The following is a 20,497-nucleotide window of genomic DNA, read 5'->3' as shown; positions in this document are numbered from 1 at the left end:
GTGGGAAGTTTTGTTATTCCAGGAAAATATCAAACAGAATGTCACATCACTATTTGTTTAAATACTTTTGTGGAATTCTGTTTACCATCATGTTAGACATAGTTATTAGAAATCAGAAGTCGGCAAGATGATAAATGTTTTGGTCTCTGTCACAGTTACTGAACTTGGCCAAAGCAGCTAGCAAAAGCAGCCACAGATAATATGTTAACAAATAGGCATAGCTATGTTGCAATAAAACTGTGTTTATGGTGGCACAGTGGCTCATGCCTGTAATGTCAGCACTTTGGGAGGCCAAGGTGGGAGCATTACTTGAGCCCAGGAGTTTGAGAACAGCCTAAGTAACATAGCATGATCTTGTCACTACAAAATTTTTTTTAAAAAAATTAGCTGAGCATGGTGGCACAAATGTGTAGTCCCATCTACTTGGAAGGCTGAAGTGGGAGGATCACTTGAGCCCAGGAGGTCGAGGCCGCAGTGAGCTATCATTGTGCCGCTGCACTTCAGCCTAGGTGATGGAGTGAGATACTCTCTCTCAAAACAAAAATTTATTTACAAAAAAGATTGGCCAGGTACGGTGGCTCAAGCCTGTAATCCCAGCACTTTGGGAGGCTGAGGCTGGTGGATCACCTGAGGTCGAGAGTTCGAGATCAGCCTGATGAACATGGAGAAACCCCATGTCTACTAAAAATACAAAATTAGCCAGGTGTGATGGTGTGCGCCTGTTATCCCAGCTACTTGGGAGGCTGAGGCAGGAGAATCGCTTGAACCCAGGAGGCGGAGGTTGCAGTGAGCCGAGATCGTACCATTGCACACCAGCCTGGGCAAGAGAAAAATTCTGTCTCAAAAAACAAACAAAAAAAATTACAGTCCATATTTGGCTCGTGGACTATCCATTGCTGACCTTTGATTTAGAAGAACATTTAAGGTCATGAGAATATGTTGAGGATATATTGATAACTGCAAAAGCAGACTGCAGTGCAATATGAACTATGTTGTTAGTATGTTTATATGAAAAAAACTAAATAACCCACAGTAGCCTAATATATTAAGAGAGATTTCCTAGGGTTGTGAAATCACTAGTGATTTAGCTGTGCCTGTGTGCACCCATATAATTTTCTCAGCTTTCTGGGTGTTTAGCACTGAGAGTTTTTTAACTCTTGTACTAGGGATAAGGGGGGCAAGGAGGGTATGGAAAAGTACCCCAGGTCATGTTGTCACTGTTGTGTACTGATTATCTCTAGAACATGTTGTTATACCTAAATACCTAAAAATAGGCACCCAGGTAGGGGATTCAGCCTCCAGCTTTAGCCATCTGGGGTCCTGATACTGTAATTTAACCGCTTCTTGTCTCAGTGTCTTCTTCAGTCTAAGAGGATAATAAAACTTTGTTCATGGAGTGCTCATGAAGACTCGGCTGCTCTATGTAAAGTTTCTAGAATAGTTTCTGACACATATTCAATGAATACAATTCTTTTTATAACCTGTACTGGATAAGAGTATCTGATATTCCTCTCACTGAAGGTTTTAGTGGTTTCCTGCATACATTTTGTAAATACTTTGATTTTCCCAATTGATAACTATTAAAGAGATACCAACCATGTATTGTTATTTGTTGATGTTATTAGTATTTCAAATTCCCATAAAGTTGGCCTGGTGATAACACTGAAAGAAAAAAAAAACAATCAACAGAAACAGAGTAATTCTCTATTGTTTATATAATGACATAAATCTTAAATAGCTAAACTTTGAAGGAAGACATCCATGGAGTACTAAAGAATACACTCTTAGTATGATTTCAGTTTTAGTACATGCCATGGCTAACTTTTTGTGTCAAAATGACTTGGGCCAAGAGGTGCCCAGATTAAACATCTGCAGGTGTGTCTATGAGGATATTTTCAGATGAGATCAGCTTCTGAATCAGTGGACCCAGTAAAATAAGATTGCTTTCTTCAATGCAAGTGGGCTTCATCCAATCCACTGGGGATCTGGACAGAGCAAAAGGCAGAGGAAGGAGGAAGACACTTTTTTTGTTGTTGTTGTTTGTTTCTTTTCTGCCTTACTGCTTGAGCTAGAACATCTCATCTCACCTTCTTCTGCCCACAGACTGGGATTCAGACCATGAGCTCCTGCCTTTGGACTTCAGTTGAATTACACCACCAGCTTTCCTAGGTTTCTGGCTTGCAGATGGCAGATCATGGAACTGCTCTGCCTCCATCATCATGGGAACCAATTCTTTGTAATAATCTCTCTCAATCTCAATCTCTCTCTCTCTCTCTCTCTCTCTCTCTCTCTCTCTCTGTCTCTCCCCTCCCCTCATTGGTTCTGTTTCTCTGAAGAACTCTGATTAATATAGCACACTTATTAAAAATGTTTTCTAAATGCTATTTTATAGCAAACCTATCACCTTCCTGAGGATTGTAGCCTATGTGAGACTTTTTCACTATATTCCCATATCTGCAATGCCTGGTATCTTACCCTATAAAAAATTGAAAAGGAGCACACTTTTTTCCCTATAACCACAAATATGTACCAGTAAACCTACTATGAAATTGCTTTCATATTTTGAGCGATGATTTTTTTTCCTTCTTACAATTTCTCTACGAATATTGTCAGAGAAAATGCATTAGCACCACAAAAAGTAGAAATAGTAACCATTTTCTGCTGTATGCAGCAAATGAGTGCGACGCAGAATACTGGGAGTGAAATAAGTGATAGAAAAGTGAAGAGTGGTTAAGAAAAGCAGATTCTCATTTGCCAAGGTTAGAATCTCTGCAGCAAGGATAACCCTTATAGAAGAGATTTTTGAACTTTTCTGTTTCAGTATTTTTTTTAAAAAGTCATTACATTTTTTCTTGCTCATTTTTTATGATAAAGATTTTTTTAGCCTTCTCATGGCATGTCTCACATTTGCTCTTTTTTGTTACAATTTTTTTCCTTATAAAATGCCACGACATTCATGTGAATCCGTTGGTCAACCTAAACCCTAAGGGCTATAGTAAAAGGTCATAAATGATTCTTCCTGCCAATAAAATTTAAGTCAATTTTCTATAAATTAGGTATCCATGCTGCCTTTTCTATTCTCAGCCACATTCCTACTTTCCATGTAATTGTCCTTTTCTTCCTCTTTAACATCCTAGTTGGAAATCTTTTGGGCATTCTTTTTTTAAAATCATCACTGTGATAATATTGGTATCTTATATTAGATGAAGAGAGCAAGGGTTTGTGTCTGTCTTGCTCATAATTGTTTCTGCTATGCCCATTGCCTAGCACATGGCACATTATAGATGCTTGATATAGTTTGGATGCAAATCTCATGTTGAAGTGTAACCTTCGATGTTGGAGGTGAGCCTGGTGGGAGGTGTTTCAGTCATGGCGATGGATGTTTTATAAATGACTTGGTGCCATACCCATGGTAACGAGTGAGTTCTTGCTCTAGTAGTTCATTTGAGAGCTGGTTGTTTAAAGGAGCCTGGCACCTCCTTCTCTCTCTTGCTCCCTCTCTCACCATGTGACATGCCTGCTCCCCCTTCACCTTCTACCATGATTGTAAACTTCCTGAGGCCTCACCAGAAGCCAAGTACATGCCAGCACCATGCTTCTTGCACAACCTGCATAACTGTGAGCCAAATAAGCCTTTCTTAATTTATAAATTACCCAGCCTCCAGTATTCCCTTATCTGCAAAACAGGCTAATACAGTGCTCAATAAATATTTATGAAATAGGCTATACTGACAACCTTTAAAAACTCATTTATTCAGGCTTAATAATCATTAGGAAATATTATTTAGGGCAGCAGTATTGTTGAGACATCCCAGAATGGCCATCAATTACTGTAAGTTTCTCAATTAATTTGACAGTAAGAATTTTTTGATGAAAAGCACACAAGCAAACCATAAAAACACATTAAAAAAGAAAAAAAGAAGCTGACTGTACTGTTTTCTAACTAAACGTGGTAGTCTCTTCCCAAGTTTTTTTTTTATTTGTTTTAATGAAAAGAATGGCTGGAATACTAGTGTAACTATAAAGATGACTGATATTGAGGGTTTACATAACATTTTCACCTGTCCATTTCTGACTGACAGAAAGAAACATCAAAAAAATAATCCACGTGTAATGAAACAGAGATACGTTATTTTTCTTAAATGTTCTTATCCAAATTTCTGGTTGTTTCACTAGGGTCCTAGGGAAATCCAACAGTGCTAGTAAAATGTGGAGCTGAGGAAAAGGAGAGAAGAATATGCATTTATAGTTATGGCTGCTTTTTAAGTAAATCTTCTGGTCCCTTTTTAGAAAACATAATGAAGGGCAGAGGGCCAGGGAATGACACTATCTTCATATCCCTCATGGTGCAGGTCCAACATCACCATTTGACAAAGCATTACTTAATTTCTTTAATTCCTTTCTTTGTTTAGCACCCTGCCCTTGCCTGTTGTTTGCTATTATTCAAATACCATTATAGCTATTCATGTAAAAGCCTGTCTCCTCTACCAGAACATCAGCTCTATGAGGGCAGGGACAGTCACTTTAATTTTCTATTCAGAGTACTTAGCAAATTACAACATAAATCTCTTTTGAATAAATTCAACTGTGTAAATCACATGCAAAATAGGATTTCCATATATTGAAGTGATCTGTGAAAGTGTCAGTTGAAACACCTACAGCTCTCCTCTTCTATGGTGAGGCAAATCCGTGCTCCTCATAGAAGTAGTTGGCACACTGTGTTTTGACATGGTACCCCATGCCCACGTGAACCTCATCTAGGTTTTAAGGTTTGTGTGTCAGCAAGTGGACCCCTATCACATCCCACACACTACCTCCTGACTTTGTATCATGTCCAATGTGGTTATAGTGATCCCAGGAGCAGCCTCACCTGGCTCTCACGTCTTGCTCTCCAGGGACCTACTTAGTTTTCTACCAAGAGGCCATCTACCTAAATGCCATCTTGGAAATGTGTGTTTACAGAGTTTGGACATAAATTCCTTGGTTGTTTGATGCAGTTCCCAAAGACTCTGGGACTTTTGAGGCCATTTTTCTCACCTGGAGATGTCAACCATTCTACCCCATGAGCAAAGTTGTCTTTGCTGTTTGTCTCATGGAGTTGATACAACACAGCCCCAATCTAGAAGACAAGAAAGGCCCATAGTCCAAACCCAATTTTTACTAATTTAAGCACATTTAACCTGGAGAGAAAGCCAAGAGGCTGGATTGGTTGGGGTCATTTATTCTGCCAAGTTTGGGTGGGTTTGCACTAGCTGAGTGTTCAGTGCCAACCCTGATCAGTATGAACTGGCACAGTAAATTAAGCTACCACACCTTTAATGAACTTAATTCCCTTATTTTGACAGAGTTCCCATTTCCAGTGATTCACTTTACATTTTAGACACTTCTCCTATAGGTGTTTGCCAAAGGCCCTTACTGGCAGCCAAACACTGAATTAGTTAGAAACTAGAACGAAAAACCATCAAAATCATCATTGCATGTTCTGTAAGCCAATTTTGAGCCTTAGCTATTCAGGGTCAGAAGCACTTAGGGTAAGTTTTGAATACTTGCCCCATGTCTTTTCTATTTTTCAAGATTCCATTGCATTTTGTAAGATTCAGGATCCGGGGCTTTGGTCAGGGACTGTGAAGAGTATCAGATCTGCACAGACTCAGCACACTAGGCATTTACCAACTGCTAAATACCGTCATCAAGAGTTTGACTCTACTGAAAGAGAAGGAAACAGAGAGGAGTTATTTGGAGAAAGCAGGTTTGCCAGAATTAAAAGGAGGTACATTTATTCTCCACCGTTTGTCTATAATTACAAAATATTTTCGTTTTTGAGGATTAATGAGAGTTGAGGAAATTATCTCAGTTTCTCATTGAGTTTACACAAGAGAGATAGTAATGAGTAATATGATTTCTGTGTATCAGCAGGGTGCTAAGTGTTTTAAAAGCAAGGCCTACATTAACCCTTACAATTTAGTTAAGGTCAAACAGCTATTAAGTGTTAGAACTGAGACTGAAGTTTATATTTATCTGGTTCTAAAACCCATGTCCTTAAATGCTACTCCAGAAATCATCACACTTTTCATGGTAAGGGCCAGTTAGTAAGTCTTTTAGGATTTGTGGGCCTGGTGTTATGTGGAAAACACATAGTTCTGCAGTTACAGCACATGGCAGCAGCCATAGTTGATTTGTGAATAAATGAATGTGGTTGTTCCAATAAAACTTTATTTGCAAGAACAGGTGTTAAGCCAGAATGGTCTCATGGATCACAGTTTGCTGACCCCTGTTCCAGTCTATATTCTAAACTTGATGTTTCTCAAAATGTTTCCTTTTCTTTCAACAATTTCTGGAGTACTAGATCATAGAATATTGCATTTCATCAGATACTCTCTTTTCTGTCCTTTCATTCATTCATCAAATATTTATTGATTACTAATTTAAAATATATATAAATCAATCCCTAAAATTTTCCCTCACTCTCTCATTTTGTGTTTTTTTTCTTAATCAATTGTTTTATCCATCCTTTCTTTCTTGAGAGTAGATCAGACTTTCTGTTATCTGCCCTATGCTGCCAAAATTTCAGATTATCAAAAACCTTTTCTCCTTCTTTCTAAAAAAAAAAAACACACTTTGAGTTTAAGACATTAGGTGACCTTCTTTTGATATAAAGCAGCCAGTCACCTTCCCTTAGATTTCTTCTCAGGTTGTGTATAATCAGCAGTTTGGGAATCTGTAATGGATTTTCCAGGAGGCAACTCTGATGAAAATGTCAACTTTCTAAACAAAGACAGTTGTCAGAATGTTCTTTCAGAAACCCAGGTTATTCACTGTTTTTGTCATGTTGAGCTTTCAGCTCTTCAATAGTAAGAGGGCATTGCCACCTGGTGGAAAAAAATATTGAGGGGGTTAGATGGTCACCTGGGGAAAACATGGATAAGCACACTCGACATGAATTGGAGAATTTTATCCTGGAAACGTCATTTCAGTGTCGAATGATAGGAAAACAGACCTCTTCTATGTTCAGAACCTAAAACAATTAAATGAAAGAAAACACAGTTAACAATTGCGTTTAAATGGATACAGGTAATCTTTTTCTGGAATAAAATGACTTGAAAGGTTGTATGTTATTTCTAGTTATTAAAACTCCCCTGGAGCCATTTCTTCCTCATTTATAGAATTTTCCACTCTTTTTCTGTACTTTTCAATTACTTCCTTTACATGGTTTTGTTGTTGTTGTTCCTATTCTCAGTAATGCTCAGGTTGTCTTCGAGCTACTTTTTAAACTTTTATTCTTCATTAGTGACCTATATCCGCTGTCCCTAAGTTGTATCTGCCTACTTGCTGTCAGGCACTCTAAAATCTCTCCTTTATTTCTCATTGTCTTCCTAAATCTGCTCTCCAAAGTGTTAAATTTGATTTACTCACGTGGGTGTCTTCAATCCTTATGCTCATTGACCTCTTCATGACCTCAACGTCATCCTCAAAATTCTTCGTTGGTTTCCAACTGTGTGGTTTCCTAGTTGGATTCTTTCTGCTCTCATCTTTCCTCCTGTATTCATTGAATATGATCACTTTCTCTCTTTGCCTGGCTTTTTATCTGTGAGTCTTAAAGCTAAAAATGTTACCATCAGATTTGTCTTGTTCATAGTCTCACTTTCTGGATACATTCATTGATTCTCATGGCTTCCAATAAACATCAGATTAGACAAATACCTGCTTTCCTAGGCCTGTCCCTGGACTAACTTTTCTCCCATTCCTATTTTTTTTCAGAGGTACCCCAAATTCAACATGCCCTCACATCAGCTGAAACCCCGTCTTACCCAAACTGGGGGGAATGTATTTCTTATCATAATATTATTATTTCCCAATTCCTTCATTTAAATGAAGCCACGCTTTTCCTACTATTTTATGTTAGAAATCTTAGAGCAATTTAAAAATATCCTCTGCTTTACTGTTTTTATTTCAGTCTGGCATCATGGGTTCTCTTTGCTTTTTTTATTTTTAAATTTTGTGGTTGCATAGTAGGTATATCTATTTACGGGGTACATGAGATGTTTTGATACAGGCATAAAAAGTGAAATAAGCACATCATGGAGAATAGGGTATCCATCCTTTTAAGCATTTATCCTTTGAGTTGTAAACAATCCAGTTACACTCAAGTTTTTTTTTAACATAGAATTAAGTTATTCTTGACTATAGTCACCGTGTTGTGCTATCAAATAGTAGGTCTCTTTACTTCTTTAGGAGGTTTTATCTTGAGTGTAAACTTCATGAGTAGAAAAGCCTTCCCTCTTTTACTCACCATTGTCTCCTAGCACCCAGCACAGAGCTTGGAATATTATACATGGTTAATAAATATTCGTAGATAAATAAGTGGACACATGTCCTCTAAGCTTTCTGTTTTCTATTGCCGCTGCCAGCTTCTGTGTCCTGATTCTTTTTGCTTCATCCCAGGATACAGGAACATTCTTTATACTGTAGCCCTCTACTTTGACTATTCATCAAAATCACATAGGCAGCTCGTTAAATACTCAGTTTCCGAGGCCCCATTTCCAGATATTATGATTCAGTAGGACTGAAATCTCGATATTAAACAAGCACAATACTGAACTCATAGTCCTGGATCTTCTCATTCTCTTCTGTCTTATTTTGTTCTTATAAACTTCTATGCAAACAGTAGCATTCTATTATAGTCAGTTTACACCCACATTTTCCTCTTTGGCTTTCATTCTTATTGGTCTTCATTTCTCAAACAACCTGGATGCTTCTCAGGATCAGAATTAGACCTGTTTTCAGAGTCCCAGATTTATTTCCTAGCTCCTTAATCTCTTCAGTCATATCTATATCCTGTGGTTTCTGTGACGATCAAATGAGGTAATTCTTTAATGAAATTGACTTGTAAATGCAAACAGTCAGGATGCTTGTCAATTAGGCTGTTTTTTAGGTATTTTGTAAGTATTGTAACTACAACAATAGCTACCACGTACCTGCAAGATTATAAATTCAGTGGAATGGTTCTCTTTCATTCCAGAACTCCCTGATGTAGCGTATCCTTTATACCTTTTCTAAAACATTAATTAGTGCTTCTCGGAGCATCAAAAGGGAACCAATACCTGAGTATGGAATTTTGTTTGTTGCCTCTGAAAGAATAAATGTGCAGACAAGACTTTGGAGAAATAAAGCTGATGAAAGCTAATATAGGTTTGTTTTTTACAAAATTTCTATTCAATAGAAGAATGATTGCTGCATTGAGAAATAGAGTGTTCCTCCCTGTATGAAGTAAGCGTCTTAGAAAGGACACGGATGTTGCACACTAATTTCTTAGATTATGAAGTAGTAAATTCATGGAGATCACATGGTTTTTTCAACACTGTATTCTCTAAGTCTGGCTTATGGAAGAAGCTCGATAAACATCTGTTAGTTGAGAAATCCAGTCTTCAATTACGAAATCTTAATCATATGAAAATCTTTCGATGTCTTGCTTTTCATCCTGGTTCTCTTCCAGGGCTATCTGTTCCCTACTTTTTTCTTAATCACATAATCCTATTGCCAGGTAACAATTTACAGTTGCAAAGTGGAAAGCTAATTATAATGAGCTTAAGCTGGCCACATAGCCTTCCTTGGAGGCTTCATTTTATTCTAAACCCTCCGGTGGCTGCAGGTTGCCATGTGACTAAATTTTTACTAATGGAATGTGTTCCAAGTAACTAGAGCTGTGGTCAGCACAAATTGGTGTTCAAATATTGATTGAATGAATACAGAAACAAGTAGAATGGAAAAAAAGTGAAGTGTGTAACTTCTGCCTCTCGAGGCTGTCTTGTTGAGACTTTGATCCAGCTTTGAACATGCAGATGATCACAGGGCAGAGATTTGCAAACTTTTTCTGTAAAAGGTCAAATAGTGAATATTTTAGAGACCATAAGGTCACTGAGGTACTCAACTCTGCTGTTGTAGCATCAAAGGAGTCACAGACAATACAAGAACAACTAGGTGAGGCAGTGTTCCAATAAAACTTTATAAACAAAAACAGCAGGCTGAATTTGAGCTTTGGTTGCAGTTTGCCGACACCTGCTCAAGGGGATAGTGGGTGAATAAAAGACAGAAAAAAGTGGAGCGCGGGACAAACCTCATACAGCCAAGCCATCACATCAACCTGAACTGCTCAACTCAGAGAAGTGATACGGAGGAGAAATAAATATCTCTCTTTTTTTATTTTTTGAGATAGAGTCTAGCTCTGTCGCCCAGGCTGGAGTGCAGTGGCACAATCTCGGCTCACTGCAACCTCTGCCTCCCAGGTTCATTTGATTCTCCTGCCTCAGCCTCCTGAGTAGCTGGGATTACAGGCACGTGCCACCATGCCTGGCTAATTTTTGTATTTTTAGTAGAGATGGGATTTCACCATATTGGTCAGGCTGCTCTCGAACTCCTGACCTCGTGATCTGCCCGCCTTGGCCTCCCAAAGTGCTGGGATTACAAGCGTGAGCCACTGCACCCGGCCAATATCTCTCTTCTTTAAGTCACTGTATATTGATTTTTTTTTGTTATAGCAAAGCTAATTAACCAATGCATACAGGATACATTAAAATGAAGGGCTAGCTAAATTCATTGTTTATTATGTTTCATAATTATTATTCTTCTTCTTATTATTTTAAGCCCATAATACTCCTGGGATAAATTGCCTATGATTAAACATTGGAAGTAGCCATTGCAAGGGTAGGGACACTCAAACCCTATATTGTAGTATTTGATTAACTTGCTTACTTTAGTTATTATCACATTCCAATGAATGGGACATTTTAATTCTATTTTGGCAGATGAGGCAACAAAGGATGAGATACTTTCAATATCTCATCTAAGATCATAGAACCAGAATGTCTGGAGACTAGGATGTCAACTCAATCCCATCTGATTCTAAAGCCTTTGCTTAACATGGGTAGCTTTGCTACTATTTTGTTTGGATACATGCATTTATTAATATTTTCAGGCCTACTGCAGACTTGAAGGGAAATCTAAGTACCAGGTGTTCTTTATGTTCACCAAATACAAAGTATCTGTAATAATATATAAGCAACCCTTTATCTGGTGTTCATGTCATTTGTACCAGCCTGCTAAAGTGTTCACAAAAAGAGATGAGAAATTGTGAGTGATTTCTCTGTTCCTGCACTGTCCAGAATGATGGCCCTTGGCTGTATGTGGCTATTCAAATTAATCGAAATTATTTTTAAAAACTCAGTTTTGCTCCAAAATTTCAGCTCCTCAGTTTCACTAACCACATTTAATGTGCTCACTAGCCATCTGTGATGAGTGGACGCCACTTTGCACAATGCAGATTATAGGATGTTGCCTCATTAAAGAACATTCCACTGGACAGCACGGCTTTCTCCTCTGTCACTAGATTTGACTCTTTTGGTTTCTATGTAAATTCAGGATCTCAGTACTTGACCTTCGGGGCACCCGGATGGCTATTCCATTCGCAGCATCCAGAGGAAGGTGCCCCTGCCTCCAGCTGCCTTGATTTAGTTCCCCCATGGCCCCTTCCGTTTTTTCTTTTTTTGCTTCTCATCCTCATGGCCCTGCCACTTATGTGCTAGAGTTGTCATTCCTTCAGCACTAATTACTTCCCAGCAGGATGGAGACAGGGTCATCAGTGGTGTAAAAGCAGAAAGAATGAGAAGGAAAAAGAGTCAAGACAATGTGTGGAATCTGCCCTCAGAGTGTGGAATCTGCAAACCAACTGAATGTTCACACTGTCCATATGAACAATCACCTTAAGTTATTATGCTCAGAGAATGTTTGTATCTCTTTACTATCCCTGCTAGGATCCAGAAGGAAGGGAAGATGTGAAAAACATCCAGCTACCTCAATCTTTAATATTATATGCTTGTGTATATGGTTGTCTTTGTGTGTGTGTGTTTGTGTGTGTGTGCATGCACACGTGTGTTTTCCTGCCCTATAGGGAATGGGAAAGCCCAGATTAACAGCAAATACTCATCAGCTAGACCTGGTCACCCACCTAGTGCTTAATTAGTTACGGTTTAGAAAACAAAAAGTGTGGCTTTATGCAATGTTTTTGTTAAGGTTGAGCTCACTTTTATTATGGAAACACAACCTCCAGAGTTTATGAAAGTGAAGCTTATGAAAAAAACCAATACTTGTTTGAACAGGCTGAGCAACTATGATACCCCTGGTAGCATCCATAATTGTGATCCGAACTTGATTCTGTGTTCTTGGCTGCTAACAGTGTGAAGAATCCTAAAGGCAATTCTAAATGCTTGGCTCACGTATAGGATGCTGGGCTGCTCCTCCCAGTGATATTTCATTAATGAGCCCAGTGGGCTAACCCAGATCGATACATAGGTTCCTACTATCCATCTCTCATCTTCAGGAATAGGCATTCCAAAGATGAAGACTCATACAGAGATTAGAATTTGTACAGTTCCTTGTTACTGGATTTTTTAGCAGAAAAACACATTTTGGGAAATTTAGCCCCATTATTAGAAATCTTGGGACCTTTAAAGTGTTCATCCCACGGGCAGGGATTTGGAAAAGTCTGCAGCCTCTTATTTATATCAAGAACTGGTCCAAGGTGTTCTTTGTGATTTGAATGTTTAATGAAATAATTGTTATTTGCCTTCCGGGGTGAGAATTTACTTTCTTTGACTCTCCTTTGGAGTTCTTCGGTTTAAGATAAGCTCAAATATTGACAGAACTGGAACTGAGATTAAAGACATATAAAATACATTAGTGCTATACCAAAGGAAGAAGAGGAAAAACCAAAGCGCCTCTCCCACAGTAAATAAGGGCAGCAAAGATTAACAAAATACTGCTGAATTTTACTCCTGTATATGATGAAATGGATTAAGTTTACAGTGGTCTACAGAACAGTATGGATTCTTCACCTTGACACCCCCAAGAACAAACTAGAGTATTAGCAGAACTCCCTTTGTATTCATTTTGACCATTTTCTTTTTGTTGTGTATCATAATCTGATGCATAATGAAAACCAGCTGTTGTCCCTCGGAGAAAAAGAGGAAAGGCTCGGTCAAATATTCTAAAAGCAGAGTAGGCAGAGAGTCCACAGCCTAGGATGTCACTTATTTAGTCACTTAAAGAAAGATGGAATTTGATGAGATGGAAGAGAGAAAAGAATGAATATATTGATACCCTTGTCATCAGAGAATAAATTATCCATGTGCACTGTATATTATTTAAGTCTTCTGATTTTTCTCAGTCAAGTGTTGCATGCCTTGTTAGCTGATTTTCAGATCTATCACAGTCTGCCAAAAAGAAATCTTATTTGTGATAGAAGCAGGATTCAGGATTCAAATGATGACTAATTATTGACAGGGGTAAATAGAGAATTATATGTTTCCAGTTAATATAAATTAATATGTTTAATGTAAGGGAAGGACAGAGAAAAGGGGAGTTCCTATTTCCTCTCATAAAATATTTACTATTCAGGTTCTCACCGGTTCTACCATTCAAATATTTACTGTCAAAGTCCAGGAGCAAGGTGAGGCATGTGGCCATTCACAGTGTTATGGGCTAAACTGGCCAGACTGAAGTCAGATCCCCTAAATTTTAGTCTTTGTTTGACATTCTGGCTGTCTGTGTTCATTGAAAAATAGATCACTGAAAAATTTTCTGTCCGCCAATGAGTTGTTAAGCAGAAATTAAATGTTTTATAAAGGCTCTTGAAAAACTATGCATGTATATTTGAGGCCTTCAAAAGTCTATGATGAAAGTATGATGGAATTGTTCACTTGGAATCCTTCTTTCATTTACTTACCAAAATCACATTGACATTGCAAAACCTATCTATTCAGCATCTTCAATATCAACTTGGAGTACAGCAAAAATAGATAATGTAGCTTTAAACGTTGTTCATTTTTAGAATATTTTTACCATTCTCAGTATAAAGGTCACATTCATTTTAGAGTTTAAGGTACACTTTCTCCAACAAGCAAATTGTATGATTTACTCGATGAGTTCATGTGGAATCCTAAAGCTCCCCATTGATTCCTTCTAATGGATAGAAGTGTGAGGGGAAGGGGAAGAGTAGGAATGTGTAAGATAGCATGGGATGAGCTAGGCGTGGCAGCTCATGCCTGTAATCTCAGCACTTTGGGAGGCCAAGGTGGATGGATCACTTGAGGTCAGGAGTTCGTGACCAGCCTGGCCAACATGGTGAAACCCCGTCTCTACTAAAAATAAAAAAAAAAAAAAAAATTAGTTGGGTGCGGTGGTGCATGCCTATAGCCGCAGCTTCTTGGGAGGCTGAGGCAGGAGAATTGCTTGAACCCCAGAGGTGGAGGTTGCAGTGAGCCAAGATCATGCCACTGAACTCCAGCCTGGGCAACAGAGGGAGACTCCATCTCAAAAAAAAAAAAAATGTTAGCACGGGATGACAATATTAAAAGTGCAGAAAGATATTCTTCTCTGGCCTTGTGCTGTTTTCATCCATTTCATTCTACCTTCATTTTCATAATCAATTCACATCTAATTTTTTTACATCTAATGTCTTTCTTTCTATAACTATTCAAAGTAAGCAAATGTGTGCTGTTTGTTGCAACAGGATTGACATGTCTGAAATGACTCACCTTTCAACACTTCCTAAAGATTTGCGACCTGAGTCAACTTCTTAATAAACTGACCAAAACACCTAACTAGAATCCATCTATTCCTCAGAGGGGTATAAACAAAGCCTTTGTGGAAAGAATATATCAGTTCCGTTACTTCTGTTGGGTAAATGGGAGTTTTTCTCCTGAACATTTCTCTTCTGTTTTAGTGTTTTCAACTGCAGCAATGCGCTAAACAGAGAAAATCCATTCTCAGGACTTTCTGGGATTTGGGTCAAATGTCCCTTGGTTGTCATTCTAATCCTAAGGTTCTTTAAACAAAAGAGCTTTGTCTCAAAACATGGATCAGTTATTTCCTAAATTGGGTGAATAGCTTACCTTAGCTAAGACAGGAAGCCACTTTATTAATGGCATTCAGGACAAATCCACAACATTAAAACATTTGATATTGCACATAAATACAAATGAGAAATAAATCTGGCTGAGAACAAGGAAAATGCCTATGTCCGATCTCTCTTAAATTCCTTAAAGTTAGGAAAACTATTTTTCCTGATGCTCCAGGTTTTTATAATGTTCTTTGACTTTTTTTTTTAATTCCTTACATTGTTTTTATTAAAAGCCTGTGTCCTAAATACTCCACGCTCTACTTAACTTTTCATTGCGCAATAGCTGTTTGAAGGAATTTTTTTTTTAAAAAAAACTCACCAAAAGACATGAATAAAATAATGAAAATATACCTTAGCAAGATTTTTTTAAATTCTGGTTGCTCATACTTCTTGTTCCAACATTGACTTATTTCCACTGGGGATATCAGGCTGGAGAGACTTCAAATATCTCCTTGTTTCAGGAACACTTGGAAGGACTGAAAAATAAACAACATTCCCTCAAAGTTAATCTGTACATTTGTCTCTAAGCATTTTCCCATATTCGTAGCTTGTTCAGACAAGGAAGCCCAAAATAATGATTTTTTTTTAAAAAGACAATAATTCAATGAAGGGCAGTCCTCTGGTCTTCTGGCCAATGGTGATTCCAATATGGTGCACTGCAGTAATTCCCAAAGTGTGTTTGCAGATCACCTTGTATGACTTTCTATGCTCTTGCGCACCTTGGAACTCCTGAATCTTCAAGAAAAAGTGGCCAGAGGTTCAGTAATTTTAACAAGCTCTTCGTATTATTGTTAATGCGTGCTAAATATTGAGAACCATTGAAGTACATAAAAACATACCAAAACACAATTGCAAGCAAAAGGATAAAATAAAGCTTAAGGCATAAAATAAGAAAATAATAAACGTGACTATTTCAAAGTTAAAAAAGTTGTATAACCACAGATATCATAAGCAAAGTTAAACCATAATATACAAGCAACAAGAGATTACTATTCAGTATAAAGACCAACAAGTCAATGAGAAAAATGGCAAATAACTCAGGAGAAAAATTAAGCAAAATATTTGAAAAAGCTTTTCAAAAACTAAATCCAAATATTTAAAGAATGGGAAAAGATGTTCAGTTTCATTGGTAATTGGGGAAATACAAGTCAAATTAAAGTAAAATGCCATTTGTGAAACTAAAAATTAGGAAGTATGCTATTACCACTTGTGATCAGAGAGATAGGTAAACAGGAATTTTCATAAAACTCTTAAGGATATTTTAGAACACTTGCTGGAAGGTATGTGGTAATAACTAGCAAAACTAAAAATGTGCATGTCTTATAACCCAGAAAGTCCATTTCTAAGTATATAATTTATTTAAAACCAACAAAAAATGAAACTCTGAGCCATGTCAAAACGATGCATGCATGAGGATATTCATGATAGCTCTGACTGCAATTGCCCTAAGTCAGAAATGACCTAAAAGTTCATTAAAAGGAAGAAGGTAAATGAAATATGGGATTTTTATGTGACAGAGTAATGAATAACACTCAAAAGAAACGAGCTAGAGCCGTATGTGTCAGGATGGATCATTTTTAAGAACTAAATTGACATCCTAGGCAACATGGTGAAACCCCATCTCTATGAAAAATTTAAAAATTAGCCGGGTGTGATGTCATGTGCCTGTAGTCCCAGATACTGGGAAACTGAAGTGGGAGGGTCACTTGAGCCAAGGAGGTCAAGGCTGCAGTGAGCCATGATTGTGTCAATGCACTCCAGCCTGGGCAACAGAGTCAGACTCTGTCAAAACAAAACAAAACACTAAATTGAGTGAAAAAAACAAGCTAAGAAGACATGAATATTTTCTTACTTATGTAAAAGTTAAAGCACAACATGTGTGGGTACATGCACCCATGCAGACCTGAATAAAGGCACCAAAATGTTAGTATTTTCCATGTAGACAGTAAGGTTGTACATCAAATTCACCACAGCTGTTGCTTCTGGAGAGGGAACGAGAAATGGGGCACAGGAGGGTACTTTAATTTTGAAATACTGTAAATAATGAAGTAATGCTAGCATGCATTTATTTGCTAAGTACATTATGTATAGTATTCCATTTAATTTCATAACAAGTCTATGGGGTAATACTATTAACATCCCTTTTTTACTTTTTTCAAATGTTTTATTTTTGTATAAGTACACACACAAACGCATTTTAAATCTGAAGCTGATTTGGAATAAAACTTTAAATTTTTTATTATTTATGTATACTTCTCTATTTTTATTTTTATTTTTAACATATATAAGATTGCCTTACAATGCTGATGCATTTCTTCTATGGAAAACACCACCGCCATCTAGGTTTTCTCCTCTGCTTCACCTCATGTGCACTATTTGTTACTTACCTTCTCACCCCTACCCCCATTCTCAAAAAAAAATCTTTTTATTCTAGGGACAATTCATTTTCATACCTCACATGCCAATTATCTAATGGAACTTAGCTCTTTCTAATCTGATTTGGCAATACAGACAAAAATTAAACTCTTTTAAAGTTTTAAAAGATACCCAAAGCAACACTTTACTATTCCTCTGCAAATCCCCAAAGTTAATAGACACTAATATGCATCTCTACTCTGTGTCTGCTTTTTAGCAGGTCTCTTAAAAAGAAAATAATATAAATTAGGTTTAATTTCCTAAGCCATGTTATCAGGAGTCACCACTTTTCACTTAGGAGGAATCCCTACATCATATTCACAAAATGACTTATCTGTTCAAATAGATAAACCCTATGCAAGACTTAGTTGGATTCTATTGGGAATAGGATGATTCATTTTACACTGCACGATTGGAAAGATCATCACAAAGAACATGCTTGGCTAGTTATCATATTGGGTGAAATTTGAGGTTGCATCACTGGCAAGAAAACTCTATTCCTTCTGAACTTTTGAAAGACAGTCACAGAGCTGCAACTCTCTATACTGAACATGTTTCTGAAATACTGATTGGATTGTAGACAGGCTCAATAAAAATAAGAATTTGAAGTAATAATAAAAAATGCCTTTTTTGTTTGTTTGTTTGTTTGTTTTTGTTTTTGAGATGGAGTTTCGCTCTTGTTTGTCCAGGCTGGAGTGCAATGATGCGATCTCGGCTCACTGCAAGCTCCTCCTCCCGGGTTCAAGCGATTCTCCTGCCTCAGCCTCCTGAGTAGCTGGGATTACAGGTGCACGCCACCACACCCAGCTAATTTTGTATTTTTAGTAGAGATAGGGTTTCACCAAAAATAATTTCAACTTTTAGATTCAGGGGTACATATGCAGGTTTGTTATATGAATATATTGTGTGATTCTGCAGTTTAGGATACAAATGATCCCTCACCCAGGTACTGAGCATAGTATCCAATAAGTAGTTTTTCAACCCTTGCTCCCTTCCTTCTCTCTTTGAGTGGTTCTCAGTGTCTACTGTTACCATCTTTATGTCCATGAGTATCCTACGTTTAGCTCCCACTTATAAGTGAGAACATACAGTATTTGATTTTCCATTCCTGCATTAATTTGCTTAAGATAATGATCTCCAGCTGCATCCATGTTACTGCAAAGGAAATGATTTCGTTCTTTTTTATGGCTTGTAGTTTTACATGATGTATATGTACCGCTTTTTTTTTTTATCAAATTAACTATTGATGGGAGCTTAGGTTGATTCCACATTTTTGCTATTGTAAATAGTGCTGTGACAAATATTCAAATACATGTGTCTTTTTGGTAGAACAATTTCTTTTCTTTTGGATATATGCCCAATAATGGGTGTTACTGGGTCAAATGGTAGTTCTGTTTTAAGTTCTTTGAGAAATCTCCAAAATGCTTTCCACAGTGGCTGAACTAGTTCACATTCCCACCAACCATGTATAAGCATTCCTTTTTCTCCATACCTTGCCAACATCTGTTGTTTTTTGACTTTTTAGTAATAGCCATTCTGACTGGTGTAAGATAACATCTCATTGTGGTTTTGATTTGCATTCTTCTGATCATTAATGATGTTCAGCATTTTTCATATGTTTTTTGGCCATTTGTATGTCTTCTTTTGAGAAGTGTCTGTTCATGTCTTTTGCCCACTTTTTAATGGAGTTATTTTCTTTTTGCTTCTTCAATTGTTTATGCTTCTTACAAATTCTGGATATTAGATCTTTATTGGATGTGTAGTTTGTGAATATATTCTCCCATTCTGTAGGTTGTCTGTTCACTCTTTGGCTAGTTTCTTTTGCTGTGCAGAAGATCTTTAGTTTCATTAGGTCCCACTTGTCAATTTTTGTTTTTGTTGCCATTGCTTTTGGGGACTTAGTCATAAATTTTTTTCCAAGACAGATATCCAGAATGGGGTTTCCTAGGTATTCTTCTAAGATTCTTATCGTTTGAGATCTTACATTTAAATCTTTCGTTCGTTTTGAGTTAATTTTTGTATATGGTAAAGGGTATGGGTCCAGTTATTCTTCTGCATACAGCTACCAGCTGTCCCAGCAACATTTATTGAATAGGGAGTTCTTTTCTCATTGCTTAAAAAATAACCTCTTTTCAATACAGACAAGTATTTTATGCTATATGATAAATTGATTTTGACCTAATTTCTTCCCAAACTTCAAAAAGACAATTTTAATAAATTTCCAAGCAGTGGTGCATAATTACCCTCTATAATAATAGGAAACAGAGAAGATATGGATGTATCGAGGCTTGCAGCTCCCTATTACTTTGGATTATAGTCAATGTTGGTCTAAGTAAAGAAGGGCAACTGCTTTCTCCAATGCAGAGAAAACCCAGCCAGCTTTTAGTTACCATTTACTGAAATCATGCATTATGATATACACACACCTGTGCATACACAGAAACATTTGTGCATGTATATATATGTGTATATGTACATAGCTGTATGCATGAATATATGTGTATGTGTGTATTCATATTATTTTAATTCTCCCCAGGTATGCTTTATATCTCTCTTTTTACAGATGAAGAACATGAGGCTCAAAAGTTTGAGATCACAAAGCTTAGTAAGCAACAAATGGAGAGTTGAAACTGGATCTGTCTGACTCCATAGCCTGTTTTATCCTGTACATTATTTACATTCAAGCATTATATCACTACCTAAAACATAAAAAATGCATGCAAGCGTATGGTCAAGAGAACAAGCAAGAATTGTGAGATAGATTGAGAGAGATTTTTAACCTAAACCCCTTATTTAGTATTTCTGCCATGAAAGAAGTAAGCTAATAAATTTTTCAGAAAAATATTGTAAACATGGCTCTAGACATCACTGATTCAATAAAAGCCAAGCTCCACAATTAATCTGGCCTAGCTTCTTTCTTTCTGCCTATTCTGAGAGCTCCATTTGCTCTCAAAACTTTGTTCCAACAGATGAATGCTGATTTTTTAATTTCAATTTTTGTCCCATTCAAAATGTCTTTGTTCTTCTTTCAATCTTGTAACCCATTATTAGAATAAAAATTCTTCCATAAGACAAGAAGACATCAAGACTTCCTCACCTTCACATAATATCTAGTATTTGTATATGTCT

The 20,497-nt window shown here is 37.1% G+C and overlaps 1 long non-coding RNA gene across 1 annotated transcript in view, besides 1 other annotated feature; it reads left to right on the top strand.

Moving 5' to 3' along the window:
• CASC17 (cancer susceptibility 17) overlaps positions 1-20,497 on the top strand; it is a 104,406-nt gene that overhangs the window by 77,053 nt on the left and 6,856 nt on the right. The gene's annotated exons all lie outside the window — the stretch shown is intronic.
• Positions 12,463-13,653: an enhancer, noted in NCBI's record as "E1 sequence from PMID:22665440". NCBI's record gives the evidence for it as "EXISTENCE:reporter gene assay evidence [ECO:0000049][PMID:22665440]".

The sequence above is a fragment of the Homo sapiens genome, chromosome 17, assembly GCF_000001405.40.
Source record: "Homo sapiens chromosome 17, GRCh38.p14 Primary Assembly".
NCBI classification, from domain to species: Eukaryota; Metazoa; Chordata; class Mammalia; order Primates; family Hominidae; genus Homo; species Homo sapiens.
This window is presented reverse-complemented; position numbering and strand designations above follow the sequence as displayed.